The sequence below is a fragment of the Homo sapiens genome, chromosome 11, assembly GCF_000001405.40.
Source record: "Homo sapiens chromosome 11, GRCh38.p14 Primary Assembly".
Taxonomy (NCBI): Eukaryota; Metazoa; Chordata; class Mammalia; order Primates; family Hominidae; genus Homo; species Homo sapiens.
The window spans coordinates 67,286,569-67,313,297 of record NC_000011.10 but is presented as its reverse complement, the minus strand read 5'-3'; the positions used below and the strand labels follow the sequence as shown (position 1 = coordinate 67,313,297).

The window sequence follows — 26,729 nt, the reverse complement described above, 5'->3', positions numbered from 1 at the left end:
TGAGAGGGTCTCTTCAGCCTGGGAATTCAAGGCTGCACTGAGGCATGATCGTGCCGCTGCACTCCAGCCTGGGCAACAGAACCAGACTCTGTCTCAAAAAAAGAAAAAAAAAGATGGAATGACTAACTCTTCTTGGACACTAAAGTTGAGCAGAAGGAACCCCTGGGCAGGAGGGGAAGTGTCACCAAGGGTCCTTCTTCCCAGGCCGCAATAGCCTGGCTTGGAAAGTCAGGCCCTTTGCTTTGTAGCAGGAGGAAGGTGATTCTTGGGACCCAAAACATGCCAGAGAACCTGGCGCCGAGTGTCCCAAGGAGGCTTCGCTTTTGGAACAGGCTTGGTCCTGTCCAGGTAGGCACTTCCTCATGAGTAACCCCTTCCAGCTCTCACAGTGGAGCCACATGCCTGCTGCCCGCTGACGACTTCTTCCCTTGCCCGACCTGTCTGAGCGGGTGGGTGTGAGCAGGTCATATTTACCAGGCCCTGCCCCAGGAGATGGGGAGATAGCACTGACTTCCTCTCTTCTCTTACCCAATCTTCCTCCCACGCCACGCCCAAACACGGCACTCCCCCAAATAGGTCTGTCACGAGCCACCTTGGAATTGTGAGGAGACTGCTGGGAGGAAGGGGCGGCCACCTTCCCCAGCCAGCAGAGAAGGGTCTGACTGCAACACAGATGGCTTCATCGTCACATTGAAAATAACCAAATATGAAAATGTGTTTTATTTCTCAGTACAAAGCCAGATACTGTAAGGCTATGAAAAACTGACTAGCCAGAGGCCAGAAAGGACAAAAAGAAGACTATCTCTGGCCTGGTGCCCTGTGATCTGGCGTGGTGTCACAGGAGGTCTGGGGACAGCAGCAAAGACCTGGACCGGTGGAGGTGGATGAGGGAAGCGATCTGCCAGCCCTTCCAGCCTCCCGCGGCTGGGGCCTGAGGATCCTGCCTGCCTTTGGGGGCCACTGGTTGCCTGGCCTGGCTGGTTCCAGGAATGAACTGGGAGAGGACAGGAGGTGCAGGGAGGGGGCGGGGGTGGGAGGCGTGACCCTTTTTGCACGGGAAGCTCTGTTTTCATTCCGTGCCACAGGTGAGTGTGCAGGGCTAGAGTTGAGAATGAAACTAGGGTGCTGTTGCCCCCAAAGGTACCTTCAGTCCCTCTACCACATCCCAGTTAGAAAGTCTTGAGCCCTTGGACAGGCAGACATGGGCCTGGGACTTAAGGCTGTAGGAGGTGAGGCTGTAGTGACAGGGGTGGGAGGTGAGGCCGTAGTGACAGGGGTGGGAGGTGAGGCTGTAGTGACGGGTATGGGGCGGAGCTGAGAGGAATGTGTGCGGCAACAGACGTGAGGGTGTTTCTCCAAGGAGTTGTGGATCCTCTTCAGTGTCAGGGGAGCGTGGGCATGTGTGAGGGCTCAGGCCTCGCCCTCCTCTCCACTGTCATGCACGCTGGCCTGTCTCACCACCTTCCGGAACCTGGGCGTAGAGGAAATGCAGGGCTCTCCCTGCCCCTGCCCCTGCCCCTGCTCCTGCTCCTGGAAGGCCTGGGTCCGGTTGGCCACCACGGCACTGCCCTGGAGGGTAACCACTGACTGGCGGGACTTCAGGGCAGGCTGAGGCCCCCTGTCCACCTGCTGGCCTCCCTTGGTCCTTGCAAGCTGTGGGAAGGGCTGCAGAGGCTCTTCATGTGAAGACTCGTGGGAAGAGAAGACCTGGACAGGTGTGAGGATACGGAAGCCATGGGAGGCCTTTCTGGGGCAGGGGTGCCCAAGCACAGAGCCGGGAAGATCTGGGGCAGGGGTGCCAAGCACAGAGCCAGGAGGAGGCGAGGGCCGGAATGTTTGTGGCACGCACGCCAAAAGCCAAGCTGTCCACAGCCACGCTTCCTCGGGAGGGAGGACAACACCCCAGCCCTGCTGCCCCGCTCCTTGAACCCTACCTGCTTGTAGCTTCCTTCTGGCCCCCAGAAGCCCTCCTCAGCTCCCTGGAGACCCAGGCCTCCCTGCCCTCCTCCCCTCCTATGCTTTCTCTGCCTTTGCGTAGGCAGCCGGCAGGTGAAACCCGTGCCGGCACCAGCCCCTGAGCTGGGCTGGGTGGATGCGTGCGTCCGGTGCTGGGTGAGGACCTCTTGCCTTTAGCAACGCCCACACCCGCCCATCAACCCACCACGCCTCCCTATCCTTCCCCACCCACACCTCCTCCAGGAAGCCTCTCCCAAATGTTCCTGCCCTCAGTGGATGCTCCTTCCTCCAAGTCAGCCATTTGGCCTTGAGTCCCAGACAGGGCCTGGCTCCCAGGCTTAGGCTTGTGCCCGCAGCACTGAGCATCAAGGGTGCTGACTTAGGCAGGACTTGGGCGGCGTGAGTGCGCAGACTCCTCCCCACCCCATCCTTTGAGGTGCTGCTCCTCAGACCAGGGAGGGGCTTCAGAGATTAATTTAGCCTCCCCACCATGGGGTTAGAGATCGCCCCCAGGGCCTGCAGGGGCCTGTGGAGCTCATGGCCTGGGGAGGCAGCCCTGCCCCTGAGACAGCTAGTCCTGTGGTCAGGCTGGAACCTGCCCGCGATCGAGGCTGGGGCTGGCTCACCCAGGAGCCTTGGAAACAGGCACTGCTTCCTGCCCTGCCCCCGTGACCCCTCTCCAGCCTGTGCCTACAGTGCCTCCGCCTGCCCTCACTGGATCTCAGCTGCTCTCAGGGGCCCAGGACGTGGCTGGTCCCCATCTTCAGGGGTATTCATGGGACAGGCTGGAGACGCCGGGTGCTAAGAGATACTGGGCTGACTGTGAAGGAGGCTGGGACCAGGCCCCCTGGGTCCTCCCAGGACACCCTGCATGGGCGGGCCAGACTTAGCCCGGGTACGCCCTGCTCAGGTCTACAGTCAAACGCCCATCCTGGTCTTTCCCCATCTCCCTCCTTATGGCCCCCACCCCTGCAAGCTGAGCTCCCCCAGCCCCAGCCTCACCTCTGGCATGTCACTGGTCTCTGAGGTGCTCTCCAGCTCCAAGGAGGGCTCCAGAAGACTGATGGACCTCATGACCCCTCGGAGGTTTATACGTGGCCGTGGCCCAGGCTCTTCTTTCGGGGCTGCCTGGCTCTCTTCCATGCCTACAACCTTCTCCTCCCCACCACCCTCAGGTTCTGGCGGAAGAGGTGGGAATGGTGTAGAGACTTCAGGGGCTGGGTGCTCCTCTGGGGAGACCCCACCCACTTTCTGCTCCCAGACATGGCTCTGGCGGCTGTGAGGAGGTGGCCCTGAGTCAGCTCTGAGTGACCCAGCAGCCACCCCCAGCAAACCCACCTACTCACCCCCTGCCACTCGCTCCCATCCCATACCTGGCCGTCAGGATGCCCTGGTAGATCTGCAGCTGGCGCAGGAAGCCAGGGTTGGGGCGGGCGATGGGCCGGAGCTCCTGCACGTGGCGCAGGGCCTGCTCCAGGCTGCATTCGTACTGCTTCATGGCATAGGCCAGCACTGTGGCCGCTGAGCGGCTGACGCCCATCTTGCAGTGGACCAGCACGTGGGTGCCCTGTGCTCTGTGGAAGCAGGCCAGGTTCAGCACCCTCCCCTCACCATGAAGGATCCCGCCTCCTGCAGGGGAGGGCAGGTGAAGGGCTCACAACCAACTGAGAGTAGAGAAGGAGGGAAGGACACTGAGGGCTGGAAGGAATGGCACAGCTGATGGCAGAGTGGGCAGGAGGAGGGCACCGGAGGCCGCTTGAAGCCACAGTGGGGCAGGCAGCAAAGCCAGGAGACCGACCTTGCAGCCTCAATGAAGCGGTGCGTCTCCTTCCAGTGCGGCAGCAGCTGGGCCGACTCCTCATCCCAGAGGCGCACATTGTGGTAGGTGAAGCGCTCAGGGTAGAAGTTGTCAATCTCCCGGGCCATGTTCAAGATGTGGGTGACCCTGTCCCAGAGGGCCCAAGGCCAGGCTGATGTGGGCAGAGGTACCAGGCCCACTGGCAATCGGACCTGGCAGCCCCTGGGCCTCGCTTTAGCTCTGAGTTTCAAGTCAGATGGAGGCAGCAGTGACAGTGGGAGGAGAAGTGACCCAGCTGTCACCTGGCTGCGACCTTAGACCAATCATCTTGCCCTGCTGGGCTTGTTTCCCCATCTGGTCCAGACAGCTGGGCCAACTGCAACTCCAGCCCTTCAGTTATTCTCAGAAATGAGTTAGAGAACAGCTTTTGAGCTAAGCTGAGAGTGGGTGGGTCTGCAGCAGTGGGTGGCAGGGGCTACAGCAGGTCCCAGAAGCCCATGGTGGGCAGATGACAGGTACCTGTCAGAGCAGGCAGCCAGGTCCCCACGGGGAGAAGGGCAGTTCCTTCTTCCCTGAGACAGGGCAAGGTGGAGAAAAGGCTTTTTCTCTCTTTCTTTTTTCTTATTTTTTAGAGACAGGGTCTCTCTCTGTTGCCCAGGCTGGAGTGCAGTGGCGTGATCACGGCTCACTGCGGCCTCAATCTCCAGGGCTCAAGCGATCCTCCTGCCTCAGCCTCCCAAGTAGCTGGGCCCACAGGCGCATTCAAGAGGAGCCTTTTTCTGCTTGTCCAAGGCAGTTACAGCAGTATGCGCTGCTGCTTCTCGTCTTGGCGTGGCTGAGGCCCTTTGTTTCTGTCCTTGTTTCACAGTGTGGATGGGGGAGGAGAGTGGGCGGGGGCTGGCCAGCAGGTCTCCTGTCCCCACCTGGGAGCCCACACCAGGGCAACAGCCCCAGGACAGAGTTAGAAGCAGAGCTAGCAGCTGCTGAGGGTGGTCCAGGGGTTTTTGAAGCTGGCTACCACCCAATGCGGGGAGGCCAGGAGAAGGGAAGATGGGGTGGGTGGCCCGAGGGGCTCATAGCCCTACCTGTTCCTCTGCAGCTCCTCCAGGTTTGCTGCGTTCCACTCTGAGCCCTGGGAGAGAGGGAACAGCACATTTCTCCTCTCCTCCAGCCTCTGCTCCTGGCCTGCCGCCCTCACAGCTGCCAGCGGTCCCCATGGCCCAGGCCTGGCTGAAGCTCACCAGGTAGAGGTGGGGGAAGATGCGGGAGGCTCGGTCCCGCTGTGCCACCAGCAGCAGCATCTGGTTGTCGATGAAGTCACGGTACTGCTGGAGGGGGAGCCCCAGGCGCAGCTCCAGAGCCTGGCGGATCTGCAGGCAGAGCCCAGGGCAAGAGAGGCTGGGGCTCTCCTAGTGCCCAACCTGCCACCTTCCCTCTGGGACCTCTGAGGACAGCACCCTATCCCATCTAGATGGATTAGGGCCAAGGCCAAGGCATCCAGGAATGGCTCAGGACTGGAGACAGGCAAGGTGGGGAGGGCTCCCAGGAAAGGCAAGCTTGCAGCCCCTGCTAGAGGGGACTCAGTCCCCGGGCCCCCTGCCCACCTCTTTGGAAGTGACACTCTCCAGGTCACTGACATCCAACACTTTCCACAGCTCAGCACGGATCGCCTGCTCCATCTGCTCCTGTTCTGAGGACCTGGGAGCAGAGCCCCTCAGTCAAGGGGCCCTTTCCCCTCTCCACCATGCCCCCCACTGCATTATCCTGCCTTCCCCTCCACCCAGTCCCTCCCCTCCACACACTGACCCGCCAGGCTCGGCGCTGGGAGGCCGCAGAGACTCCAGGTCGGCCATAGCCGTCCACTCATTGAGGCAGCTCTGTTCGGAGTTCAGTCTCTCCTGGTAGTGGCTGGCCCAGGTGAGGGCACTGCCACCCGGTACAAGGCCGCTGCCTAGAGCTGCCTCACATGCTTGGTGCAATACCTGGAGTGTGGCCCTGAGACAGGAGGAGAGGCTGGGTCACACTGTTCCCTTGCTGCCCTTCCCCAGGCCCTGCAGCCTCCTTCGAAGGAGAGGCTGGCCTGAGTCCAGGCAGTCTCTGTCCTTACCACATGGTCTGGATGGAGATGGGCTTGAAGATCCGGCTTTGCCCACCAGACGTCACGCTGAAGCCCCTGCAGGAGACCAGGCACAGGTGAGGCCAGACTCCAGGCTCTGCGACAGAGAACCCATCCTTTTGCTGGATACGGGAAGCCGAGACCCAGGAGTCAGGTGCCTTGCTCAGGATCACGGTGAATCTGACGTGGAGCTGGGAGCAGGCCCCAGAGTCCCAGCCTAAAGTTCTACTGTACCCTGGTGCCCAGGCCCCGTCACATCCGTCACACTCAGTTATTCCACCCTCCAGCCCCCACCTCCAGTTGCCATTGCTTACCCGTCTCCATCTAAGTACACCTGGGTGTCACTCCAGAGGGGCAAGACCAGGCCCAGGGTGCAGCTGGGGGAGCTGGCAGGGGACAGAGGGAAAGCCATTGTCCCCCCTGTCCCTCACCTCTTTGCCCCTCCTTTCCTCTCCCTGCTCGAACCTGCTGTCAGGGAAATCCACGCCCAGGAGGACCGTCTCATCCTGGCTCAGACCTTCTCCTTCTCGTGTAGAAACTACCAGCAGGTAGCGGAGCCGGGGAGGCCGGGGTGCCTCCAGCTGGGCTGCCTGGGGGGAGATGAGGAACCCAGGGTCACAGTGGCCCCAAGGACCCTGCTCCCCACCTAGACACCCCAGGCCCAGAACAGTGCTGACCCTGCTCCTTCCTCTCCCATCCCCCCTCTTCCCAGATGTAAAATCAGTGGGTAAAGAGGGACTGTGTGGAAAAAAGCGGGGAATGGGACTGACATAGGTTGCACATTTTTTGTTTCTGCTGAGGAAGGAGGTTGTTTTTGTTTTTGTTTTGAGATAGGGTCTCACTCTGTCGCCCAGGCTGGAGTACAGTGGCACCATCACAGCTCACTGTAGCCCCGAACTCCGAGGCTCACATGATCCTCCCACCTTAGCCTCCCAAGTTGCTGGGACATCAGGCCCATGCCACCATGCCCAGATAATTTTTAAGTTTTTTGTTGAGATGAGATCTTCCCTATGTTTCTTGGGCTGGTCTTGAACTCCTGGACTCAGGCAATCCTCCCTTCTCAGCCTCCCAAAGTGCTGGGATTACAGGCGTGAGCCACTGTGCCCAGCAAGAAGGAGGTTTTTTCTTTTTTTTTTTTTGCAATGGAGTCTTGCTCTGTCACCCAGGCTGGAGTGCAGTGGCGCAATCTCAGCTCACTACAAACTCCATCTCCCGGGTTCACGCCATTCTCCTGCCTCAGCCTCCCGAGTAGCTGGGACTACAGGCACCCGCCACCACGCCTGGCTAATTTTTTGTGTTTTTAGTAGACACGGGGTTTCACCGTGTTAGCCAGGATGGTCTCGATCTCCTGACCTCGTGATCTGCCCGCCTCGGCCTCCCAAAGTGCTGGGATTACAGGCATGAGCCACCGCGCCCGGCCAGTTTTTTTTTGTTGTTTTTTTTTTACCCTGTCACTTGCAAATGCTATCATTTCATTTGAGAAATGTTTATCACCAAAGAAATATTAAGGACAAAATCTCACGATAGGGGATGATACTTCTGTTGTAAATTCAGTTTTACCAAAGATTCACTGCATCTTGTTTGCCACGTCTTGCTGAGGACGGCGAGCTGTCTCCACAAGTATTTGAGCATGAGCGCTCCAGCTCCACCTGGACTCCCTTCCTCCGTGGGGCTGGAGTCCTCCTCCCCTCTGCCTGGGTCCCTCTAGCACACCCTCCCCCAGTGTGTGTCCAGCAAGCCTGCCTTGTGCACTGGTCCATTTAGGGACAGCTCACATCATCAGGAAAGTCTTCTACTGGTTGAGGAGAAACATGCCTCTGGAATTCCCACCCCTTGGACCTAATTTGGCCCTATTGGCTCACACAGGACAAACCTCCCCTGTTCTTTCCCTTCCAGAGACCTGCAGCCATGACCTCGCCCTGTCAAAATATCTCTGCCCAGGCCGGGCGCGGTGGCTCACGCCTGTAATCCCAGCACTTAGGGAGGCCGAGGCAGGCGGATCACGAGGTCAGGAGATTGAGACCACCCTGGCTAACACGGTGAAACCGCATCTCTACTAAAAATACAAAAAAAATTAGCCAGGCATAGTGGCGGGTGCCTGTAGTCCCAGCTCCTCGGGAGGCTGAGGCAGGAGAATGGTGTGAACCCGGGAGGTGGAACTTGCAGTGAGCCGAGATCACGCCACTGCACTCCAGCCTGGGCAACAGAGCGAGACTCCATCTCAAAAAAAAAACAAACAAAAAACAAAACATCTCTGCCTGAAACAGCAGGGTCACTGGGATATGGGTAACCCCAACACTCCCCAGGCTGCCCCCTGCCCTCACACCATTGCTCCCCAAGCAGACACATACACAGGGCTCCATTCTGCCCTCAGGCGTGTCTCTTCCCCCCACCCCCCGGAGCTCCACATGGGCCCTCACCAGGCGGATGTCATCCTGCGGCCTCAGCAGCTGTACCATGAGGTGCAGGTGCTGCCTCTGCTCCTCCTGCTTCTGGGGACTCTGGGATCCTTGCCCGAAGTCTGTCTGGTCCCCGTGGAGCTCCTCCTCACTCGGGGCCTTCTCTGTTGGCTCAGAACTGGCCTCTGCTGCATCATCATTGTCCCCTCCATCCTGCAGTCCCAGGACAGCCCCACGGAGCACCGCAAAGCTCTGCCTGGCAGGGCAGTGGGCAACTGTCATGGCTCCTCATTCCCCTTAGGGTAGGGGCTCTCAAAGTCTAGCATGCATCACATTCACCTGCAGCCCTTGTCTACACGGATTCATGGGCCCCCACGCGGTCGATAGGTCTAGAGTGGAGGCCTGAGCATCTGCATTTCTAACCCCTCGGCCCCTTGGCAATATTGCTGAGAACCAGTCTTGGGGGCTTCCAAGCTCTCAGCCCCTCTACTCTAGCTCATCTGTGGGGAGAGGGGGCTGCTCCTTTTCCCCTCCCACCTGTTTAACTCAAGTGCTGCTGGGAACATGGTCGGGGACCCAGGAGTCCTCAGGCCCATCATGCCCTCCTGCCGTTCGGCCCGTGGCCACCACCTGAGCCAAAGCCCAGGGCAGTGGATGAGGAAGCCCCAGCTGACCAGGGGGAGGGTGAAGGCAAAGGCCGCCCTACCGCGAGCCCACCAGCCGGCCCCACCGGGAACGCTGCCCCACAAATTTGGCAGTGGGCTTCGCTGCGCGTCCTCCGGGGAGCTTTCTGTCCCTGCAGCTGGAGCCCAGGACGGCCGTGGCCAGGCCCGGGGCAGACGGAAGTGTCTGCGTGGGGGAGGTGGCGCTCACCTTCGCTGGAGTCGACTCCTTCGCTGGACCGCCTGGTCCTGCGGAGAGAGCAGCCCCAGGGCAGGGTGAGGGCGGGGAGGGCTGTCCCCTCCCCTCTCTCAGGAATTCTAGAGTTGGGGGAGGCCAGAAAAGGCGCCAGATGCCAATCGTCTTCCCACCCCAGTCCACGCCCCACCGGGAGGCCCCGTGGAGCCCCGGCCCAAGGCCAGGTCGGCTGGGTGGGCGCCGAGTGTGGCGGGGGGCGCGCTCAGATCGGGGCCTCCGCAGCCCGGGCGGCGCGCAGGGCTCTGGATTGTGCCCCGGCGCCAGTACCAGAGACCCTCGAGGCCCCCAGCGCCCTCCAGCCCGAGCCCCGGGGCCCCCTCCTCATGTCCCCGTTCGAGAGGAGCCCGCTGGCGGGCAGGACGCGCTCCCAAGCCGGGGCAGCAACTGCGTGGGCGGCACCACGGCCGGACCACACTCACCCAGGGCCCCACGGGCGTGGAGGCGCCGCTGCCCGGGGGCGAACGGCTCACTGTGACCAGGGCCATGGAGCCAGGCCGCGAGCACCTGGGCTGGCACCGGGCACGGCCCCTTCCCTCAACCCCGCGGACAGTCCTGGACCCGCAGGACCAGGAAGGACGGACGGCGCCACCCGGGCCTGGCACCTCCTCGGGGGCGGCCCTTAAAGGGCCAGACACTCGCCCAGCCGGGCCCGCGGAGCTTCTCAGGGCGGCCGGGCCCCGCCCCTCCGGTCTCCGCTGTTCGGCCCGCCCAGCCCCTGGGCACAGGTCAGGGGCGAGGCCGGGGGCGGGCGCAGGTGCGGAGCCCGGAGACCCGGAGGGCAAGAGCTGAAGGCCGGGAGTTTGGTCCCCCTCCCAGGAAGCGCCCGGCCCGGGCCGGCCCAGCGGGAGCACCTGAGCTGTTCTGGGCCTCCAGCGTCCTGTGCCCTGCAGAGGCGGGTCCTAGGGAGGCAGAGCTGAGGTGGGGAGGTGGGGGACAGGTCTAGAGAGGATCAGGCACGGCGCGCCCTCGGCCAAGGGCCCCCACCCCAAACATTTCTCCCTGCTGGTCGGCCTTCTCGTTCCCACTCCGCAGGAACCACTGGAAGACAGGCTTCCGGGGAAAACGGCCTGGGGTTTACAAATAACCCAGGAAGCCCATGAGGGGCTCTCAGGTCCACCTCGGAGGCGAGCAGGGCAGGGCTTCCAGCTACGCAGGCGGAAGTGACTTGCGCAAACCCACCCGCAGAGAACAAGCCGCAGTCAGGGCCAGGGCCTGGGCTTGGCTGCAGGGGTCGGCGTCGGGGCTCTTCCCAGCTGGAGGTGAATGGTGCCTGGGGACCCAGGCTTTTCCTCCCCAGCAGGCACGTGGGCCGGTTTCCAGAAGACTAGGCTGGGTGGCAGGACGAACCGGGTCCCCAGCAGGTGGGACAGGGCACAGGGGATCTGACTTTCACAGGACGCCTGCTTGGTAAGGACACGTGACTCTCGCCAGCTCCTTTCAGCCCTGAGGGGCGGAGGGTGGGGGGTGGTCTCCTCATTTTACAACTGAAGAAACTGAGGCTCAGATAGGCTAAGGGGACCATGACCAGGATTCAAGCCCAGGTCTGAGGCCGCCATCCACAGTGCCTCTCCACAGCGCCCCACCTTCAGGGTCCCCACCGCTCCAGCCCAGTGAGCAGAGCAGCCCTGCTGCGACAGTCTCTTTATTTCCATCTCAGTCTCCCCTGCCTGCTCATTCCTGGGGCTCCAGGCCCCAAGCTCAGCAGCAGAGAGTTTATAAATAAATAAATTACAAAAGCGGGCAGGGAGTGGCCTGGCCAGCCCTCCCGGGGCTATGGCTCAGTGCTCAGTGAGTGACAGCTGCAGGATCCGCTGTAAGTCCTCCTCCTCCTGCTGCCCGCGCCGCTCCCGCTCCTCCTGCTCCCGTGAAGACAACTCCAGGGCCAGGCGCAGCTGCTCTTCAAAGCTGGGTGGACCGGGGGCTGGGGGTGTCCTGGGAGGGGATCCTGGGCCCCTGGGCTCTGTGGACAGCTGCAGGCTTTCCTGGAGGGCCCTTCCAGGCAGGGCAGGGGAGGGAAGAACAGGCCAGTGAGCGCCAAGGCTGGGGCAGAAGCCGAGGGGCTGGGGACCGGCTTTGGAGGACAAAGGCAAAGACAGGGTGGCAAGCAGAGGAGACAAGGCAGGGCCCTGCTTCCCCACCCCTCACACCACCTTTGGTGGCAGATAGCGCTGCTGACAGAGGGTGGCCTTGCAGAGGGCCTGGGGTCCTAGCACCTTCCTGCTATCCCCCTCCCCGCCAAGCCAGGGCTGGGGGGACAGGGACCCAGCCAGCCCCATGAGGGGCTCACCGCTCCAGCTGAAGCTGTTCCTCATAAACCGTGGCCTGGGGAGGAGGGCGGGCACCGGGCCGGGTGTTGGTCAGGGCTTCCCAGACGGTCACCTGCAGCCACCAGAGCCCACAGCTGTCACTTCTGCCGTGTGGCTGCAGAGGCCAGAGCCCACCCCCTGGGCAAGTCCCACCTGCTCCGCCTCAGTGCCCGCTTCAAGCAGGCTCTGCTGGATGGCGAACTGCAGGAGGTCATCGTCCTCGTCCCGGAGGGGCTCGTTGCGCTCCATGCCCAGCACGCTGTACCCGTTGGGCACTTCAAACACGGTGGGGTCCACCTCGCACGGGAAAGGGTTCCCTAGGCAGGTGGCAGAGGGGCCACGCTCAACCCGCGGGGCTTGGTGACCAGAAAGCTGTGCAGGCTCCCTCTTCCTCCCGTTGGGGTACCTGATGCGGCAACAGCAGAGCTGGGGGCCGGCACCCACACGGAGCTCAGGGGCTCATCACAGCCACACAGGTTGCTGAAGGTGATGCGGGCATTGAGCACGTGGAAAAGGGGAATCTCTGTGAGAAGACAGCCACGCCTGAGCCCTGGCGGAGAGCCACCTGTGCCTCCGGCCCCTGCAGCTCTCCAGGGACTGCGCTGAGGGAGGGTGCCATGCCTGAGGTCCTCCCGCTGCCTGTGCCCAGCCTCTCACCAATTTTGACGGGGAAGCCAGGTGGAAGGCGCAGAGTGATGAAGTCGCGCAGCTTGGCAAAGTGAGCGTTGCTGATGGCCATTAGGTCGATGATGGGGGTCACCTGGTCACCCAGGGAGAGCGGGTGCTCTTCACTCAGCCACAGTGTTGCCTTGAACCTGCCCAGCCGACCACAGGACATGGGTGAGGCACGGCTGGTGGCCCTTCCATTGAGGACTGCCCTCTGGTTCGTGGGCAGCTGCCTTTACCCACCTTCTGCCTGGCCTGGAGTGCCCTGCTCTGCTCAGATGCCGCTGCCCGCCTCCCCCGGGAGCTGGTGTCCTGGCCACGTGGCCCAAGCTGCCCTCCTCCCTGGGCCCAGGCTGGGGCTCCTGAGGATTTCGTACCAGCTCATCTGGTCTGGACAAGGAGGCCAGGTGCCAGGCTGTGGGCTTCTCTCTGGGCCTGGCCCACAGCCCCGTTTTCCTCCTCAGCCCAGAGCTGGTCACCAGCTCACGTGTTGCCAAACTTTTATGTCCAGCACACCCCAGGGCAAGACTGCCAGGGTTCGAATCCCAGCGACTGTTGGGTGGCTAAGAGAATCCTCCTGAGATGGTGGGGAGAGCGCTAGGCTTGTGCAGGCACTGTGCCTGCTGTTACCGCCTATACCTGCTCAAGGCTCCTCACGAGGCAAGAGCGTAACTGTTCTGTTCCACCAAGGCAGACGCTCCACTCCCAGGCCACGTCGCTGGGGGCCCTTCCCACTGTGCCACGCTGGCCCCAGCAGGTACTCATGAAATTCAATAGAAAACCATACATGGGTGGCACCATCCATTCATCAAAGACAAACTACCGGTTTTCTGTGCCAAGCCCCTTGCTAAGGGCTGAGGACCATGGATAAGGCAGACATGACTCCTGCCCTCCAGGAGTGGAGTCCAGAGAGAAGCCAGCCGAGGGAGTGGGTCCCTAACTATGACAGGCCCAGAGAGGGGTCTGCAAGAGCCCTTGTCCCGAGGCAAGTCCCCAGCCAGCTCTCAGACCTCACCTCTGTACTTTGCTGGACATCTCGATGGGGCGGCCAATGTTCCGTGACTCCAGGCTGAAGTTGGGGTCGAAGTACTCCTCAGGGGAGATGGCTGTGGGGTTGGTGGGGCTGGCTGCCTGCTGCACGGGGGCCTGCGTGGGTCCCAGGGCGGACTCAGCCATCAAGGTGACAGAGGGTGCCCTCCCGCCCAGGCTCGGCCCCCCGCCAGCCCTGTCTCGGCCCAGCCCCGGCTCACCCCGGTGTGGGAGGAATGCTGCTGCGCCATCCCCAGGAAGGACTGGAATGGAGTCTTCCCCGCTACGGAGAAGGGGTGGGAGCTGGTAAGGGGTCACAATGCTCGCATCGCCCCTGCCCACCTCCACCCCTGGAGCCTACTGTCTGGGGGAAGAGGGGTCAGACGGGAATGGGGAGGCCTCCCAGCTCATCCTGGGAAACTCTGGCCCCTAATCCCAGGCCAGGGTGACCCCACCACACGGTGTGACCGGGCAGCAGGCAGGCGCACCTGGGTTTACCTTTGCTCCTCGACTTGTCCTGATCAGAGAGGTGCTCCGTGCGTGTGCGTGTCACCAGCTCCACGTTGGTGGCACTGTACACCTGGGGAGCAGGGGACACGGGGAGCTGGGGGCTCAGAGCCTGCTCCCCACACTCAGCCTCACCAGTGCAGAACCCAGGTCCTCCTGTCCCAGAGACAGATGAGATCTTGCTCCCCAAAATGGAGGAGGTGGCAGGGTCTGAACCCCAGGAAGTCACCAACGAGGAGATGCAGCCCCAGGGTCAAGAGGAACACACTCCTCTTTTGATCTCGGTACCCTGGGTAGGGGCCCATGATGTGGGTGAGCCCTGTGTACTCCGCAGGGGCTGGGCACTCAGGCCCGCTGAGTTCCCACAAATGCTCAGGGTTTCCAGAGCCCAGGGGCTACTCTGGGATGGATGTGGAGAGGAGCTGAGTTCCTGGACCTCATCTCCTACCCCCAGCCCCCCACCCCTAGCCTCTCCTGCCTTGGCCTCGTAGCCGCTAACAGTTTCCATCTTCTCAGACCGCCAGCCCCAGATACCACATTTGTTCCTGAAACAGACCAAACAGGAGCTGGTGAGACCTGCACCCTCACACGCTGGCCAAAGCCTTCCTTTCCAAAGCCCCCTCCAGCCAGCCTGCCCGGGGTGCCCAACTCTCAGGGCCCCTTCTCGCTATGAAACATGGAGGACCCCTGAAGAGGGTGCCTGGACAGGGGGGGACACTTGAGCATGGACTTGGGACTAGAAGACACTGAGGAATTAGCATGAATCTTGTGAGGTATGATAGTGTCGGGGCTGGGTTTAAAAACATCCTTGTCTTTTAGAATTGTGCAGAAGCATTTACTAGAAACATTAGGACATCTGGGATGAGCTTTGACACACTCTAGGAAACATTTTTAAAAAAGGTAAGGAAGGATAGATTCAGTAAGATTGGCAAGATGTTGATAAATGTTGAAGCTGGGTGATGAGTAAGTACATTATCTCTTCTTTCATATATGTTTGAAATTTTCCAAAATAAAAAGCTAAAAGAAAAGTATGTCAGTTGGAGACTCCAGTACCCCACTTTCAATAAGGGATAGAACAACTAGAAGATCAACAAAGAACCAGAAGATAAGAACAACACTACAGCTGGACTTCATAAGCAGGCTAGAACACTCTACCCAATAACAACCACACACACGCTTCTCACGCGCACACGGAACACTCTTCAAGGCCATACACTAGGCCATTAAGAAAACCTCAATAAGTCCGGGCGCGGTGGCTCATGCCTGTAATCCCAGCAGTTTGGGAAGCCAAGGGGGGTGGATCATGAGGTCAGGAGATCGAGACCATCCTGGCAAACATGATGAAACCCCGTCTCTACTAAAAAATACAAAAAATTAGCCGGGCACGGTGGTGGACGCCTGTAGTCCCACCTACTTGGGAGGCTGAGGCAGGAGAATGGCGTGAACATCGGAGGCAGAGCTCGCAGTGAGCAGACAGTACCACTGCACTCCAGCCTGGGCGACAGAGCGAGACTCCGTCTCAAAAAAAAAAAAAAAAAAAAAAAAAGAAAACCTCAATAAAATTGAAAGGATAGAAGTCATACAATGTATGTTTTCCAACCACAATGGAATGAAATTAGAAGTCAATAGCAGAAAAAAAAAACTTTGGAAATTCACAAATATGTAGAAAGTAAACAACACACTCCTAAATAGCCAACGTCTCAAATAATAAATCAAAAGAGAAATCAGAAAATACTCTGAGATAAACAGGAATAAAGACACAACATATCAAAACTTATGGCCGGGCACGGTGGCTCACGCCTGTAATCCCAGCACTTTGGGAGGCCGAGGCAGGCAGATCACAAGGTCAGGAGATGGAGACCATCCTGGCTAACACAGTGAAACCCCATCTCCACTAAAAATACAAAAAATTAGCCGGGCGTGGTGGCAGGCGCCTATAGTCCCAGCTACTCGGGAGGCTGAGCCAGGAGAATGGCGTGAACCCGGGAGGCGGAGCTTGCAGTAAGCCGAGATCGTGCCACTGCACTCCAGCCTGGGCGACAGAGCAAGACTCCCTCTCAGAAAAAAAAAAAAAAACCAAAAAACTTATGAGACACAGGTAAAGGCCAGGCCAGGCCCGGTGGCTCACGCCTGTAATCCCAGCACTTTGGGAGGCTGAGACAGGCAGATTGCTTGAGCACAGGAGTTCGAGACCAGCCTGTGCAACATGGTGAAACCCCATCTCTACTAAAAACAGAAAAAATTAGCTGGCGCCTGTGTTCCCAGCTACTCAGGAGGCTGAGGTGGGAGGATCACTTGAGCCTGGGAGGCGGAGGTTGCAGTGAGCTATCACACCACTGCACTCCAGCCTGGGCGATGGAGTGAGACCCCATGTCAAAAAAAGAAAAGACATGCCTAGAAGTATAAATGTAATATGTGTGAATGCCTATATTAAGAAAGAAGATCTCAAATCAATAACCTTAACCTAACCTTCCATGTTAAGACAATGGAAAAAGAGCAAACTAAACCAGAAAGAACAGAAAGAAATAATAAATATTACAGTAAAGGTTAATGAAATAGAGAATAGAAAAATAATAGAGAAAATTAATGAAACCAAAAACTGGCTCTTCGAAAACATCAACAAAATTGACAAACCTTTAGCTAGGTTGACCACGGTGGGCAAAAAAAGAGAGAGAAGACTTGGCTGGGGGCGGTGGTTCACACCTGTAATGTCAGTGCTTTGGGAGGCCAAGGCAGGAGGATTGTTTGAGGCCAGGAGTTCAAAAGCAGCCTGGATGACATAGTGAGACCACATCTCTACAAAAAAAGAAAATTAGCTGGGCTTGGTGGTGCATGCCTGCAGTCCCAGCTACTTGGGAGGTTGAAGAATCACCTAAGCCCAGGAGTTCAAGGCTGCAGTGAGCTCTTATCATGCCACTGCACTTCAGCCTGGGTGACAGAGTAAGACTCTGTCTCAAAAACAAAACAAAACAAAACAAAACAAAACAAAACAAAAACTTCAAATTACTCACCAGAATCAGAAATGAAAGAGGGGAGCAACAGAAATAAAAAGCATTATAAAAGGATACAATGATAGCTGTACACCAACAAATTTTATAATTTAGATGAAATGGACAAATTCCTAGTGAGACACAAACTACCAAAACTAATTTGAGAATAAATAGATAATCTGAATAGATGGATAACAAGTCAAGAGACTGATTGGTAAATATAACAACAAAAAACTATACACACATACACACACACACACACACACACACACACTCAGGCCCAAATGGCTTCACCACTGAATCCTACCAATCTTTTGAAGACAAATTAATACCAATTATTTGCAAACTATTAAAAAAAATAGACAAAGAGGTGACATTTTCCACTTCAGTTATGAGGCATCACCCAGATACCAAAACCAGACATATATCACAAGAAAACTACAGACCAATATCACTTATGAATATGGACACAAAATCCTCAACAAAATACGAACCAACCAAATCTAGCAACATATGAAAAGAATTATACACCACAACCAAGTGGAACTTATCACAGGAATGCAAGGTTGGTTCAATATCCATAGGTCAATTGATGTATCAATAGAATTTTTTAAAAAATCACATGATCATATCAATAAACACAGAAAAAGCATTTCACAAAATCCAACATCCTTTCATGATAAAAACACTCTAACAATGAGGAATGGAAAGGAATTACCTTAACCTGATGAAGGGTATCTACCAAAAACTCACAACTAATATCATACTTAATGGTAAGACTGAATGTTTTTCCCCTAAGATGAAGAACAAGACAAGAATACAAGGATGTCTGCTCTAACCACTTTTCTTTTCTTTTTTATTTATTTATTTACTGTTTTAGATGGAGTCTTGCTCTGTCACCCAGGCTGGAGTGCAGTGGCACAATCTGGACTCACTGCAACCTCTGCCTCCTGTGTTCAAGCAATTCTTGTGCCTCAGTCTCCCAAGCAGCTGGGACTACAGGTGCCCACCACCATGCCTGGCTAATTTTTTTTTTGTTTTTGTATTTTTAGTAGAGATGATGTTTCACCATGTTGGCCAGCTTAGTCTCAAACTCCTGACCTCAAGTGATCTGGCTGCCTCAGCCTCCCAAAGTTCTGGGATTACAGGCGTGAACCACTATGCCCAGCCTGCTCTAACCACCCCCCTTTTTTTTTGAGATGGAGTCTTGGTCTGTCGCCCAGGCTGGAGTGAAGTGGCGTGATTTTGGCTCACTGCAAGCTCTGCCTCCCGGGTTCACACCATTCTCCTGCCTCAGCCTCCTGAGTAGCTGGGATTACAGGCGCCCGCCACCAAGCCTGGCTAATTGTTTGTATTTTTAGTACAGATGGGGTTTCACCATGTTAGCCAGGATGGTCTCGATCTCCTGACCTCGTGATCCACCCACCTCGGCCTCCCAAAGTGCTGGGATTACAGGCGTGAGCCACCGCATCCAGCCTCTAACAACCTTTAATCAATATTCTACTGGAAGTTCTAGTCAGAGCAATTAAGCAAGAAAAAGAAACAAAAGGCACCTAAATTGGAAAGGAAGAAATACAACTAAATCTATTTACAGATAACATAATCTTATATGTTAAAAAAAATACTGAGGAAAGGAATCCACTAAAAATCTACTTGAATGAATGAGTTTAGCAATGTTGCAGGATACATGGTCAACATACAGAAATCAATTGTAATTTTATACATTTGCAATACACAATCAAAAAATAAAATTAAGAAAAACATTTGATTCATAATTGTATCAAAAAGAATAAAACCCTTAGTGGCCAGGCACGGTGGCTCACACCTGTAATCCCAGCAAGGTCAGGAGTTGGAGACCAGCCTGGTCCGACATGGTGAAATCCTGTCTCTCTAAAAATGCAAAAATTAGCAAGGAGTGGTGGTGGGCACCTGTAATCCCAGCTACTTGGGAGGCTGAGGCAGGAGAACTGCTTGAACCCAGGAGGTGGAGGTTGCAGTGAGCCTAGATTGTGCCACTGCACTCCAGCCTGGGCAATAGAGTGAGACTCCATCTCAAAAAAAAAAACAAAAAAACAAAACAAAACAAAAAACAGAATAAAACACTTAGGAATAAATGTAACAAAAGTGCAAAGCTTACACTCTGAAAACTATAAAATAATGTTGAAATAAATTAAAGAAGATCCAAATAAATGGAAAAACATCCCATGTTCACGGATTAGAAGACTTAACATTGTTAACATGGTACTATTCCCCAAACTGCTTTATAGATTCAGTGCAATTCCTATCAGAATCCCACCTGACTGTAGAAATTGACAAGCTGAATCTAGAATTCATATATTCTGCCTACACTGGGTTGTGAGAAAAAAGAAAATAGAATTCATATAAAATGCGAGGGTCCCAAAATACTGAAATAACCCTGAAAAAGAAAAACAAAGTAGGAAGACTCACACTTTCCAATTTCAAAACTTATTGCAAAGCAACAGTGATTAAGACAGTATAATATTGGCATAAAGACAGACATGTAGACCAATGGAACTAATGTGGGAGTCAGAAAGTAACCAATTTATCTATGGTCAACTGATTTTCGACAAGGGTGACAAGACCATTCAGTGGGAAAAACATAGTCTTTTCAACAAAGGGGGCTAGGACAACTGGATAGTCACATGCAAAAGAACCTTCCACTATACACAAAAATTAACTTAAAATGGCTCAAAGACCTAAGTGTAACAGCTAAAATTATAAAACTCCTATGACTCAATAATCAAAAGATGACCCAATTTTTTAAATGGGTGAAGGGATAGGTGTGGTGGCTCATGCCTGTAATCCCAGCACTGTGGGAGGCCCAGGTAGGCAGGTCGCTTCAGCCTAAGAGTTTAAGACCAGTCTGTAGACTCTATCTCTACAAATAACTAAACAAAACAATTAAATGATATAATAAAATAATTACAAATAATTTAAAAATTAGCTGGGCATGGCAGCATGCACCTGTAGTCCCAGCTACTTAGATCACTTGAGCCTGGGAGGTGGAGGGTGCAATGAGCCATGATCATGTCACTGCACTCCATCCTGGGTGAAAGGCCAGACCCCATCTCAAAATAAATAAGTTAATTAAGTTAAATAAAAAATGAGTAAAGGATCTGAATAGACATTTCTGCAAAGAAGATATACAATTGACCAATAAGCACATGAAAAGATGCTCAACATCATTAGTCATCAAAGAAAGGCAAATCAAAATCACAGTGAGCTATCACTTCTCACCCACTAGGCTGGCTAGATTCCAAAAACAAATGAGTGAATAATGACGTGTTGATGAGGATGTGGAGAAACTGGAACCCTCACATGCTGCTGGTGGGAATGTAAACCAGTACAGCTCGTTTGGTAAACAGTCAATTAAACAATGAGTTATCAGTAACCTAGCAATTCCACTCTTAGGTATATACCCAAGAGAAATGAAAACATATGAAAGAGAAATTAAAACATACGTCTACACAAAAACTTGCACATGAATACTTAGAGTGGCATTATTCATAAGCCAAATAATGCAAATAACCCAAATGTCTATCGATGGGTTAATGAATAAACAAGATATGGTATATTCATACAATGGCCACAAAAAGGAAAGAAATAGTTACGTGCTACAACTTGGATGAACCTTGAATATATTATACTAAGTGAAAGAAGCCAGACACAAAAGGCAACATATTATAAAATTCCATTCATATGAGAACTCAGAGCAGGGAATTCTACAGACACAGAAAGTAGATTAGTGGTTGCTTAGGACTGGGAGAGGGGATAAGAAGTTTGGCGAAGAGTTAGCTAAAGGGTGGGGGGTTTCTTCCTGAGGTGATAAAAATGTTCTAAAATTGACTGTGGTGATGTACAAATCTCTGAATAAATATACTAAAAGTCATTGAACTGTATGCTTTAAATGGGTGATCTTATATGGTATATGAGATTATATCTCAATAAAGGTTTTTTGTTTTTTTTTTTAAGTGTTTCCACTGACTGTTAAGGCAAGAGGGGGCATGTGTTGTCAGAGAAACTCTTGCTGGAAGGGTCAGGTTCCTAGGCTACCCACAAAGGATTCTGCCCCCAACACAGCCGCACCAATGACAAGCCAACATTGGTGCAAAGAGCTGCCGTGAACCACAGCCTAAATCTTTGTCTTAATGGGAAAACATATGAGGTCAGAAGTCAAGAAACTGGGGACATCTTGACCTGACCCCTCCCCACAAAGGTGGCCACAGGAGCCCAACCACCCCGGCAGTCTGAGTGAGACACGGGCTGCAGCAACCCACCTGCCCCTGAGCAGCCCCTTGTGAGTGAGCCCAGAGGCCTGAACCAGGATCTTCAAGGATCGCCCTGCCCTCATTAATGGTGGCTCTTGCTATCCGTCCCCATCCCACCCACGGTGTGCCAGGACCCGACCGACCTCTCAAAGGCCACATTACGAGTGTCCAGGTGGGTGGAGACGATAGGAGAGGTGAGGCGACTGGCCACATGCTCCTCGCTGGGCCGCATGGCGGCCAGCAGTGTTTCGGGCTCCTGCAGAGTGAGCCCCAGTGTCTCCACATGCACCACCTGCCGGTCATGGTCCACTTCCATCACCAGGGCTCCTGCCTCTGCCGGCCGGTAGGGGTGGACAGAGGGGGCGCAAATCAGTGCTGGGCGCCAGCAGTGCAGAGAGGGCGATCATGTACCCTCAGCCACCTGCTGCCAAGTGGGTCAGTCTTGGCCCCTGGATGCCCCTCCATCCCCAACCTCAGCTTCCACATCTGGAAAGTGGAGAGAAAAGGCAGCACCGTCCTCCCAAGCCGCAGGAAACCCAAGGGCCGAGGAGCTGCAATGAGTTTGTCCAGAGCTCACCCTGGCCCTTGAAGATGAAGCTCCTCCGGCCCCGCTGCCAGGTCATGTGCTCGAAGCCCAGGAGACTGGTGTCTACTCGCAGGCTCTCACCCCGCTTCCACACGCGGTACACATCGCTTGGGCACATCTTAGACACAAGGGGCACTGCAGGGTGCACAGGGGTCACTGGGGGTCTTTCCAAAGGCCCCACCCCAAATCCCTGGGAGCCCAGAGGTCCCCACTCACCCCAGCTGGTGAACTCCCACTTCATCTCAACGTAGAAATCGGGGGCCTAAGAGAAACCAGAGCTGCTTGTCAGCGCCCTGCCTGCTGCTGGCTCCAGCAGGCCTGGGAGCCCCTTGTCCACAGCCAGCCCAGCCCTTCATCAGGTCTTTTTTTTTTTTTTTTTTTTTTTTGAGACTTGCTCTGTCACCCAGGCTGGAGTGTAGTGGTGCAATCTCGGCTCACTGCAACCTCTGCCTCCCTGGGCTCAGGTGATTCTTCCACCTCAGCCTCCCGAGTAGCTGGGACCACAGGTGTGTGCCACCACTCCCAGCTAATTTTTGTACTTTTTGTAGAGACGGCTTTCACCATGTTGCCCAGGCTGGTCTCCACCTCCTGGGCTCAAGTGATCCGCCCACTTTGGCCTCAGAAAGCGCTGGGATTACAGGAGTAAGCCACAACGCCTGGCCCTTCATCAAGTCTTGACGCACTGCTATGGCTCAGCTACGCCCAACCACTCTGCCCTGGAGAGGGTGGGCCAAGTGGGGCACTACAGTGGTCTTCAGACAATGAGGCTGTAAGCACCTGGAGGTGGAGGGCCAGCCTCAACCTGGCCATGAGCCTGTGCAGAGCCCTGGGGGAGCCTTTGTTTCCACTGGGTCTCAGAGTCCTACTCTGTAAAGGGGGCACAGTGGCTCCCTCCGAGCCTGCTCCTGGGGTAGGGGGTATGAGATAGTATGCTCTGCCAGCCAGGCCCCTCCGTGTGCTTCCAGAAGGGTGCGTAGTAGCAAGTATTCCAGGGTTTCAGGCCATAATCCACCGAGTCAACCTGAAGTCCCTGCTCCAGGTAATCTGCATTCTTCAGGAGGCCCAAAGCTGGCAAGGCTTCTCTTCCAAAGGGTCCAGTCTCTCCCACGTGAGCCTGGCCGTCTCTCTTTCCTACGTGACCCTGGGCTGGGGTCAAGATAGACAGACCTCCTTGCTGGTGGCAGGAGGCACACTGCACAAACTGGGTGCCTTTCCAAGGCCAGGCCTGGCACAGTAACCAGGGTGGTGCCCTGCCATGGTACCCCACCTCCATAACTGTGCCCTGCTGTACCTGGCGAAGTTTGTTGAGCAGTTCCGGAATGCCCGCCAGCCTCTGCGTGGCCCTCTGGTAGTCCCGATACTGGAGCACCAGCTGCACCATCTCGGGGTCTCCAGTGCTGACTGCCTCCTGCAGGACTGCGGGCACCAGGCTGCTGAGGGGAGCCCTCCAGATGACCCCAGGCCTGGCTGCTCACTGCCCCCCGCCTGCCAGCCTCAGGGGGAGCCCCTTGTCCTCTGCAGTACCTGCCCAGCCCTGGCGGTTCTCTTTGCCCACGTTGGCATTGTGTCGAAGGAGCACTCTCACAGACTCCAGGTTTCCCAGAGACACGGCCAGCTCCAGTGGGGTCCGCCCGCGGGGGTCCTCCTGTTCAATGTCGTGCTGGGGGAGACGGGACACTCACAAAGGGCAGGAGAGAAGAGGGCAAGGCAGGGAGGCTGCCAGGGCGAGCAGGGTTGGGAATCGCTGTGGGAAATAAGGACGGCGGACTGACCAGGGAGATGGCAGAGGGTGGCCTGCGTGTCCTGGCAGGGGAGAGGAGGGGGCAGGAGGGAAGGCAGGGGCAGAGCCGGGGTCTGGCGGCGGGGCCTGGTCAGGCAGAGCTGCAGGTTGTCAGGAGTTTGGCGGAACCTGGGGACCAGGACCAGAGTTCTTGTTCTCAGCTTGGGTCAGCAAGGATGCGGAAGCGAGTTCGGGCGAGCAGGGCAAGGCCCAGCGCAGGGGAGAGGAGGCCAGAGGCTCAGGCGCGAGGGGCCGGTGACCTGGGCTTGGGATCGTGCAGGGGAGGAAGGCCCAGGATGTGGCTGCGGAGCTGAGCGGGCGGGGGGGGGGGGGGGGCTCCAGGACGGAGGCCACAGCCTTGGGTGGGGGACCCGGGGGAAGGGCCGGGTGCCCCAGCGGGGCCTCACCTGGTGGCTGTGCAGTGCGGCCTCCAGTTCGCGATGCCGGTTCGCCCAGACGAGCCGGTGCAGCGGGAAGGTGGGGCCCGGGCCGGCCATGCTGGGCCTCAGCGCCGCATCCCGGCCCCGCCTCGGCTTCGGGCCTGGCACGGCCCCCTAGCCTCCCCTCCGAGCCGCGCCCCAGCTGCGCCCCCCGCGGCCCCCGCAGCAGTAGCGGCGGCGGCGGCGGCGGCGGCAGCGCGGGCGGCAGGGAGGGCGGGGCGGGCGGCGGAGCGGGCGGGGCTGCGCCGGGCCGGGGCGGGGCTTCGCGCGCGCCCCCGTCCCCCCGCAACCATGGCAACCGCGGCCAGGCCAGCGCGCGGCAGAGCAACCGCGAGCGCCCGAGGAGATGCCCGGCCTTGGGTCTGCGCCCCGACCTCGGTCGGGCCCGGGTCCGCTGGGGCGGCCTGGAGGGCGGTGCCCGGTTACAGCTCCGCCCGCGGCCCGCAGGAGGCGCCCCGAGCCCTGCGCAGACCCCCGGAGCCGGGTCCGGAAGAGGAAGGCGGGGCCGGAGGGGGCGGGCACTGGGCCCCTCGGTAGTGCACGCGCGTGCGCGGCGGGCCGCGGTCCTGCTGCAGCCGTGATGCCTGCGTTTCCCCCGCGGATCCCCTTGCTCGCCCCGGTCTTCCTACCCCAGGTCCCGCGGTCACCGACTCTGCTGGGGTGTGCGGGTGAAGTGGGGCGCCCCGGCTCCCCTCACCCGGCCTGGAGACGAGCAACGAGCAGACGCCACTAAGTGCTTGCCGGCTGAGCGGGAAGCACCTTCCCCTGGGACCTGGCCGGTGTCTGCAGGCCCAGCGATGCGGGGAGGCGGCCCCCGGGGCCCTGAAGTCAGGGATAGGAGTTCGGGGAGAGAGGGGCGCAGGCCCAGGCAGCGGCAGAGCCGTCCCGGCGGAGGACCGCCCGCGGCGAACGGCTGCCTTCGCCCGCCGCACGAGTCCCTTTTGCAGAGGCTGCGGTTGGCTGCCAGCGTCAGGAGAGGAAGGCGAGTTTCGAAATCAGGGCCGGCCCCTCCACCCACACCGGAACTAGGGTGCAGGCCTCCGTCAGCTCAGTTCCGGCCCTTGATTACTGGAGGCCCAGCCTGGGGTCTGGGGCCCTGGTTTTGCTAGGTGGCCAAGGCTGACCCTCTATTCTCCCTTTCCCTACGTGGAACATGATTGAGGAGGGCCAGCTAGCTTGAGCATCACTTCCTGCTGTAGGGCGTCCTCAGTTCTGAGACTCTGGGCTGGAAGGCCTGATTGCCATTTTTACCCTGCCTTCTCCCTGTAGTCACATGGCGCCTGTGCCATCTGGGGTCACTTTGCCACCCCACGCTATGGTGTCAATCTGTGAGGTCCTGGGGTTGGTAGCAGCCCGAAGGCTTCTGAATGCCCAGAGCTCACCTGCTCACCACTACTGCAGCCCTCCCTGGCCACCCCTTTTCTCAGAGGCGGTCCCTTCCCTGAGCCCTCTCCAAACTCAACCCCGACAGGACTTTCTTGGTTCCAGCCTCTCCTGATTTCTGCCATCTTGAACACAGCTCCCCACTGGCACTTAATTCCATGACAGTGCCTTCTCAACCCTCTTCCACGGCCTCCTCTCTCTCCCTGACCCCCACATCCCTGGGAGAGAGACTGTCCGTTCCCATTGTCACCCTGATGCCACCCCCAGGTCCACATTTCAGCTTACTCCAGGACATCTCTGTGCCCAGGGATCCCATGCTATCCCATCAGTATGTCCGAAGCCAACCCAACCACACCTACCCTCTTCCCCAGACTCCCGCCTCACTCAGCCCCAAGTCCAGCCTGTTTCTGCTGGACCACGTTCTTCCCGTCTGGCCTCTTTTCATCTCTTCCTCTCCCACTGCGGAGGTTTGTCTCCCTGCCTCCTGTCCTTCACCTCCCTCCCCACATCCTGTACTCAGTAACCAGGCAATCACTTTAGAGCCAGCTCTCACCACTCTCAGCCCTGTTCCGCACCTTCAAGGGCTCCCTGAGCATGGCAGGTCTGGACTCCATGTCGTTTGTATCTTCATTCTGCAGGCCCTGAGCACACACCTGGCTCCGGGATAGGTTAAGCCTGGCATTCAGTGCCTCCAGGCATGGCTCCTTCCTATAGTCCTCCGGCCAGCCTGGGCCACTCATGAGTCCCTGGCTCTTCCCTGCCTCAGAAATGTCCTCCCTCCTTCCCACACCAATGCTGGAGGCCTGGCTCAAAGGCCATTGCCCCTGACTCTTGTATTCAGCCCTGAGTACCCTGCCCAGCTGCCTGCCTCCCTTCTCTGCCTGGCATGCTGTGCTTTGGCCATGGGCCCCAGCCATGCCCAGCAAAGCCCTGTGTGGAGTGGGCAGCAACATGTATCTGTTTAGTCACCCGCGGGGCTAGGGCAGGGACCTGGGGAAAGGGAAGTTGACCAGAAGCCTCTGGGTAGAGGAGAGGCCTAGTGCTGGGGTTCCCCTCAGGCCTCAGGGACCCCTACTAGGGCTGTGCAGTGAGGCCAGAGAGGAGGCTGAAGCCAGAGATGGCCAAGGGCCCAGAGGCTGCGGTGTGACCTAGAGGGAAGAGGTGCCTTGTGACTGTTTCTGGGGAGGGGCCTCAGCTTGGTGCCTGCTGTGCAGGGGTGTTCTGTGGGCCTGAGACGGTCCCAGTCAGCCCAGACACTGTGCCAGGCCTAACACTGTTGGCACCTCCTCCTGCTTACCTGGGAAGTGGCAGAAGCTGCTCTCTCCTCCCCGGGAAAAGGTGAGGAATGGGCACTGGACAGCCACTAGGTGGAGAGGACTGTCAGCTGGGAGGGGTAGGAGGGGAAGTGGGACCCACTGCCTCACCCCACCTGGAAGATGGCCTGGGCCCGAGCAGACCACCTTGGAAGCCATGGCGGTGGAGGAGACCTGGTACCACCGAGACCCTCCCCATCAGGCCCCAGCCCAGCAGAAGCTGAAAAGGGGTCACCAGGTACAAAAAGAGTCT

The 26,729-nt window shown here is 57.2% G+C and overlaps 2 protein-coding genes across 8 annotated transcripts, besides 8 other annotated features; both read right to left on the bottom strand.

Annotated features, from left to right (window-relative positions):
• Window positions 1-705: 705 nt before the first annotated feature.
• On the bottom strand, window positions 706-9,768 carry SSH3 (slingshot protein phosphatase 3). Of its 2 annotated transcripts, NM_017857.4 has the most exons (14): window positions 9,607-9,768; window positions 9,143-9,180; window positions 8,291-8,525; window positions 6,336-6,460; window positions 6,185-6,256; window positions 5,862-5,927; window positions 5,561-5,749; window positions 5,359-5,452; window positions 4,996-5,124; window positions 4,840-4,886; window positions 3,755-3,901; window positions 3,330-3,530; window positions 2,959-3,232; window positions 706-1,707 (listed from the first exon to the last, which is right to left on the bottom strand). In NM_017857.4, exons 1-14 carry the CDS (start codon window positions 9,670-9,672, stop codon window positions 1,411-1,413), a joined length of 1,980 nt encoding a protein of 659 aa, NP_060327.3. In that variant the 5' UTR covers window positions 9,673-9,768; the 3' UTR covers window positions 706-1,410. The 2 variants fall into 2 exon arrangements, with proteins under 2 accessions (NP_060327.3, XP_047283133.1); XM_047427177.1 differs by lacking the exon at window positions 706-1,707 and having other exon boundaries at window positions 2,959-3,134.
• Window positions 9,581-10,100: an enhancer, noted in NCBI's record as "H3K27ac-H3K4me1 hESC enhancer chr11:67070669-67071188 (GRCh37/hg19 assembly coordinates)". NCBI's record gives its function as "activates a minimal SCP1, AML or CMV promoter by ChIP-STARR-seq in primed H9 embryonic stem cells {active_cell/tissue: H9 hESC(primed)}" and the evidence as "EXISTENCE:reporter gene assay evidence [ECO:0000049][PMID:30033119]".
• Window positions 10,101-10,618: an enhancer, noted in NCBI's record as "H3K27ac-H3K4me1 hESC enhancer chr11:67070151-67070668 (GRCh37/hg19 assembly coordinates)". NCBI's record gives its function as "activates a minimal SCP1, AML or CMV promoter by ChIP-STARR-seq in primed H9 embryonic stem cells {active_cell/tissue: H9 hESC(primed)}" and the evidence as "EXISTENCE:reporter gene assay evidence [ECO:0000049][PMID:30033119]".
• ANKRD13D (ankyrin repeat domain 13D) lies at window positions 10,814-23,995 on the bottom strand. Of its 6 annotated transcripts, NM_001347901.2 has the most exons (16): window positions 23,748-23,995; window positions 23,333-23,469; window positions 23,085-23,220; window positions 22,852-22,976; window positions 21,777-21,822; window positions 21,552-21,695; window positions 21,118-21,307; window positions 14,174-14,240; window positions 13,687-13,768; window positions 13,410-13,471; window positions 13,175-13,305; window positions 12,151-12,308; window positions 11,900-12,016; window positions 11,647-11,810; window positions 11,475-11,566; window positions 10,814-11,179 (listed from the first exon to the last, which is right to left on the bottom strand). In NM_001347901.2, the coding sequence occupies exons 4-16, from the start codon at window positions 22,939-22,941 to the stop codon at window positions 10,966-10,968; spliced, it is 1,557 nt and encodes a 518-aa protein (NP_001334830.1). In that variant the 5' UTR covers window positions 22,942-22,976; window positions 23,085-23,220; window positions 23,333-23,469; window positions 23,748-23,995; the 3' UTR covers window positions 10,814-10,965. The 6 variants fall into 6 exon arrangements, 5 of the variants coding, with proteins under 5 accessions (NP_001334830.1, XP_047282829.1, NP_997237.2 ...); XM_047426873.1 differs by having other exon boundaries at window positions 23,085-23,469; NM_207354.3 differs by lacking the exon at window positions 23,333-23,469.
• Window positions 21,798-22,720: an enhancer, noted in NCBI's record as "H3K4me1 hESC enhancer chr11:67058049-67058971 (GRCh37/hg19 assembly coordinates)". NCBI's record gives its function as "activates a minimal SCP1, AML or CMV promoter by ChIP-STARR-seq in primed H9 embryonic stem cells {active_cell/tissue: H9 hESC(primed)}" and the evidence as "EXISTENCE:reporter gene assay evidence [ECO:0000049][PMID:30033119]".
• Window positions 22,721-23,645: an enhancer, noted in NCBI's record as "H3K4me1 hESC enhancer chr11:67057124-67058048 (GRCh37/hg19 assembly coordinates)". NCBI's record gives its function as "activates a minimal SCP1, AML or CMV promoter by ChIP-STARR-seq in primed H9 embryonic stem cells {active_cell/tissue: H9 hESC(primed)}" and the evidence as "EXISTENCE:reporter gene assay evidence [ECO:0000049][PMID:30033119]".
• Window positions 23,640-24,409: a silencer, noted in NCBI's record as "silent region_3622". NCBI's record gives its function as "represses an Ori minimal core promoter by ATAC-STARR-seq in GM12878 lymphoblastoid cells {active_cell/tissue: GM12878}" and the evidence as "EXISTENCE:reporter gene assay evidence [ECO:0000049][PMID:35858748]".
• Window positions 24,590-24,659: a silencer, noted in NCBI's record as "silent region_3621". NCBI's record gives its function as "represses an Ori minimal core promoter by ATAC-STARR-seq in GM12878 lymphoblastoid cells {active_cell/tissue: GM12878}" and the evidence as "EXISTENCE:reporter gene assay evidence [ECO:0000049][PMID:35858748]".
• Window positions 24,880-25,089: an enhancer, noted in NCBI's record as "active region_5084". NCBI's record gives its function as "activates an Ori minimal core promoter by ATAC-STARR-seq in GM12878 lymphoblastoid cells {active_cell/tissue: GM12878}" and the evidence as "EXISTENCE:reporter gene assay evidence [ECO:0000049][PMID:35858748]".
• Window positions 25,840-26,089: an enhancer, noted in NCBI's record as "active region_5083". NCBI's record gives its function as "activates an Ori minimal core promoter by ATAC-STARR-seq in GM12878 lymphoblastoid cells {active_cell/tissue: GM12878}" and the evidence as "EXISTENCE:reporter gene assay evidence [ECO:0000049][PMID:35858748]".

What these genes read in the sequence shown, in the direction of transcription:
- SSH3 (NM_017857.4), bottom strand. Translation starts at nt 9,672, where the DNA reads ATGGCCCTGGTCACAGTGAGCCGTTCGCCCCCGGGCAGCGGCGCCTCC. An exon ending in ATCTCCATCCAGACCATGTG is followed by an intron (nt 5,750 to 5,861) that starts GTAAGGACAGAG and finishes CTCCTGTCTCAG; the next exon opens with GGCCACACTCCAGGTATTGC. An exon ending in AGAGTGTCACTTCCAAAGAG is followed by an intron (nt 5,125 to 5,358) that starts GTGGGCAGGGGG and finishes CTCTGCCTGCAG; the next exon opens with ATCCGCCAGGCTCTGGAGCT.
- ANKRD13D (NM_207354.3), bottom strand. Translation starts at nt 23,837, where the DNA reads ATGGCCGGCCCGGGCCCCACCTTCCCGCTGCACCGGCTCGTCTGGGCG. An exon ending in TTAGCGGCTACGAGGCCAAG is followed by an intron (nt 13,769 to 14,173) that starts GCAGGAGAGGCT and finishes CCTGCTCCCCAG; the next exon opens with GTGTACAGTGCCACCAACGT. An exon ending in CGGGCACTGAGGCGGAGCAG is followed by an intron (nt 11,567 to 11,646) that starts GTGGGACTTGCC and finishes TGGTGGCTGCAG; the next exon opens with GTGACCGTCTGGGAAGCCCT.